Source organism: Homo sapiens, chromosome 3, assembly GCF_000001405.40.
Source record: "Homo sapiens chromosome 3, GRCh38.p14 Primary Assembly".
Lineage (NCBI taxonomy): Eukaryota > Metazoa > Chordata > Mammalia > Primates > Hominidae > Homo > Homo sapiens.
The window spans coordinates 176,168,931-176,173,203 of NC_000003.12; the positions used below are offsets into that span (position 1 = coordinate 176,168,931).

General features: G+C 35.7%; 1 annotated feature.

Moving 5' to 3' along the window:
• Nucleotides 3,411-3,989: an enhancer, noted in NCBI's record as "OCT4-NANOG hESC enhancer chr3:175890129-175890707 (GRCh37/hg19 assembly coordinates)". NCBI's record gives its function as "activates a minimal SCP1, AML or CMV promoter by ChIP-STARR-seq in primed H9 embryonic stem cells {active_cell/tissue: H9 hESC(primed)}" and the evidence as "EXISTENCE:reporter gene assay evidence [ECO:0000049][PMID:30033119]".

Here is a 4,273-nt window from a genome sequence, read left to right on the forward strand (position 1 = left end):
CATCTCAATTTTACAGAATGTTAAGTGGTTTGGCTAAAATCACAGAGATAATAATGGTGGAGACAAAAGAACAAAAGTCTTCTTAATCTGAACTAAATTTTCTTTCTGTAATTTTCATGTTGCCAAGACTGAGATAAATCTTTTAGTTTTCTTTTTTTACTCTGGAAAGTGCCAGAAACCTCATCTCTAAGAGTCATTAAATCTCATTAATGTATTATTCATTTATTTTAATTTGAAATTTGTCTAAAGTAAAATATTATAAAACCAAAAAACTGATTAAACATGATAGTATAGTTGAAGTTGTTGAATTTTTTAAGTTGTAAGAATTTTATACCTTAACTAAAGCAATTCAGAGACAGTTAAATTAATGAATTATGTTATAATTTATCATCTTGAATGAGGAAATAATAAACATGTCATCATCATTTTCTTGTTCCAAAATAATTATTTAGGAAAATAATTCAACTTAACATTCTTTGTGTGTGTGTGTGTGTGTGTGTGTATGTGTGTTTTAATAAGAACTAGAATTAAACTGATAGTTATCTTCTGTATCTCTTTTCCTTCAGAAGTTTTTTTTGTTTTGTTTTGTTTTTTTAAAAAAAAAATGCAGAAGACCGCACACTTCTGGTGTTAGCTTGTTATGCTTTGATGTTAAACAAAGAGTTCCTGGCAAACAATTGCCACTTCTGGGTCACTAGTTCAAATGAGAATTGTACTCTCAGTGTCAATTGTGCAGCATTTGGTGATTCTTTGTTGTTCCTGATATAGTCTGTTTTCTACAAAACATCACAAGTTTAGTAGAAAGATACAGACCAGGGAATAAAGAGCAATATAACCTAAAGAATTTCTTGTTTCAACTTAGTTTCTGGTTATCAGAGCTACAAGTTGACCACATTGCAACCCAGTTAAAGTCTTACAAACATCCTCAAAACAGTCAAAAAAATTTAGGGAAAGAAGAGTATGTTTCCAGGATTCATTCCAACAGTCTCAAAAGATAGATAGGAGCAGAGATAGAAGAGAAGATGGGTCAACCCTTAGGCTTCATAGAAAATGTGGGAGCAAGGTCACCCTGAACATTTGAGGCCAGGCTCTTTATAAACCTTGAATTTTTAATAGTAAATCCAAATCCTAATGTAGTTACTCTCAAAAATCTAATATATAAAAAAGAGAGAAAGAACAAATATATCTGAAGTATTTTACTGTATACCAGAATGTGTTAGGCTTATTTGATGTCCAAAATAAGATATTAGGTGTCTATTTGTAGCCGTAGTACAACAAGTTGTCGTTATTGTTTTTCACATGAGGAGGCTGAAGTTTAGAGAACTTTAATGCTTGCCAAGGATGATACATCTAGCAAGTTACAGGGCTCAAAATGCATGTTTAGACTGAAGCTTCACATTGATAGGAGTCTCTATATTCATTCCAGAATTAAAACAGAGACAAAATTCCCCTCAGAAGAGGAGCAAATATTTTAGTTTTCCACTTCTGCAAAGGTTATAGTGGTTAATTGGAGCTATTGGGCTTCCAACAAATTCTGGGGAAATGTATCACTGAAAATTTAGAGAGTGGAGAGCAATATTCTGGGAGGTTCTTGCCATACCTCATGTTGTTCATTATTTACAATTTTTAATTTAGGATTGGCCCAGATATTCAAGTCATGTACTGATCACACCATTCTTTTGTTTCACTTCCAGTGAAAAACTTCTTAAACCTAGGAGAGATCAACACCTGCAGTTCAAAGATTTTAGCCTTTAGTTTTTATGATTTTGAGAATCGTATCTCTAATATACTGCTGGGATTACCTCCTCCTCCATAGATTCTACTTTCACTTCCTGCAATGAATCTATCATACACTATTATATTGTCAGGTCATTCTAGGGGTTATCTACTCAACCCCAAAGTACTTTGGTAGCTAGTCTATTGCAGAATGCTGAGTTGTGCTACTTACTGGAAGTGAGCTTTTCATTTCTTTGGATTGATTCTCTATGTATTACTTTCTTTCAAAAACATAATTACATGCATTCTTCTATCAGATTCTTAGTTGGATCACTTTCTCCTGCATCCCAATGTTATGATTCTATGTATTTATTCAACCCTCCTCTAAGCATCATATAATTACGAAGTAGAATTGCTAGCCCTTAATGTTATCAGCAAAACCCATTAGGTAATTTCTTGTTGCCTGAATTGCCCCTATCTCATTAAAGCAGCCTACAGCCTTTAATGATTCTTTGCCAGAATAGATAATGTGGTTAAAAAATGTAAGCAATTATACACAGAATACTCATTTTAAAATGCCTATGATGTGCCAAACAATAAAACTCTCTACCTTTAGGAATATCGATTCAGTTTGATTCAATTTAACAAACATTTATTGGATGCCAGATGTATGTCAAAGCACTAGTCCAGGTTCTGGGGATCTACGGATAAATAATATACAGTGCCCAGTCTCAGGGAACTCACACTATAACAGGAAAAACATAAAAATTAATGTGGAAATAACATGATAAGTACCATAGGAGAGCTACACAGGAAATATTATGAGACCACAAAAAAGAATCAATCAAGTTGACCTTTAGGGGGCATTGAGTAGCAAGTACTTTTATAGGCAGCCTAGAGGTGGTTATTATATTTGACTTCTAAGGGTAAATGGTTGCTCACTAGGAAGGTAAGAAGGAAGAAAGAAAGGAAGCAAGGAAGGAAGGAAGGAAAGGAGAGAAGGAGGGAGGGAGAAAGAAAGGAAATTCTAAACAGAGAAAATAACAGGAGCAAGAGAATGAGAATGTAAATGTAGCCAGGATGTTTTGTAGGTGATTGGGTCACTGCACTGGCAAGAGAGGAAATTAGAAAAAAAAAAAAAAAATAGAACCAACCATTAAGGGCTTTGAATGCCACAATAAAGCATTGGAAATTTATTTCAAAGGTGACCGTATTAGTTTTCTATACTGCATAAAGATTTACCACAAACTTAGCAGCTTAAAGCAAAATTCATTTGCTATCTCACAGGTCAGAAGTATAGGCATTATTTAGCTGGATCTTCTGTTAAGGACCTGAAAAGCCTGCAATTGACATGTTAGCTAGGGTTTGATTCTCATCCAGAGGCTCAACTAGGTAGGCATCTTCCTCCCCACTTGGGTGACTGTTTCTTGCTTTTTCAAAGTCTGCAAGGAGAGAGAGACTCAAGCAAGTCTGATAATAAGACAGAGTTTTATATAACATAATGGAAACGCAGGAAGAACATCCCATCATTTTTGCTATATTCTATTTGTTAAAAGCAAGTCACAGTCCCACTGACCTCAAGGGGATGGAATTATATGAAATTGTAAACTCCAGGAAGTAGGGATCATGAGGGTCATCTTAAAGTTTGTCCACCACGGACAATGAGTGTTTTTTTAAGCAGTGACATATAATACCTATGCATAAGAAATAAGCTAGTGTGGAATTGTGAATAGTGATTTGAAGGTACAGAGAGACAAAAACAGATACACTTATCTCTTTCATATTTTCTACCTGGTGAAGTAACTTTTTCTATGAAGAATAGTTGTGTTATTTTTCTTCCAAAGAACAAAAAGACCATAAGCTTCCTGAGATTTACTGAAAACACTGTCCCCTTAGAAAAGAAGAAAAGAACAGTGCCTTGGAATGACTAACAGTAGCCTTCCTTAGAAAAGGAAGGAGCAGAGTAGAGGACCCATTGTCCTGATGAATGGGACAAAATTAGATTCTTTTATGTTTCAAGGGTTTGAAATAGATTCCCTGGAAAGAAGCAAAGAAAGACTATGATAACAAGTCTTTGAGGAAACAGGCACCAAAACCAATTCTGACCTGGTTGCCCTTCCTTAGTCTACAGCCTAGGGAGGTGGTAGCGGGCATTTATTGAACAAAGAACTGCTGTGAAAGGGCATTATTCCTGGCTGAGGGAAAAGAGGGTGATGGGATAGTTAGCAGAAAACCCTGGTTTTACCTCTGCTGTTTAAGCATGACCTCTGGACCAGTTTCTAATAGCCACTTGTTTTGCTCCATGCTTACTTTGTGGGAGGTAGAATATATCTTCTCCTAGCAGCAGAAGATAACTTACTCACGCAACACCCAGTTTTCCTGTAAGTTCGTGTGCAGTTTCTCAGCCTTGGTTGCACAATTACAATCATCTTGAAAATACACATATTTTAAAAATATAAGGCCGGTGTGGTGGCTCATGCCTGTAATCCCAGCATTTTGGGAGGCTGAGTCGGGTAGATCACCTGAGGTCAGGAGTTCGAGACCAGTCTGGCCAACA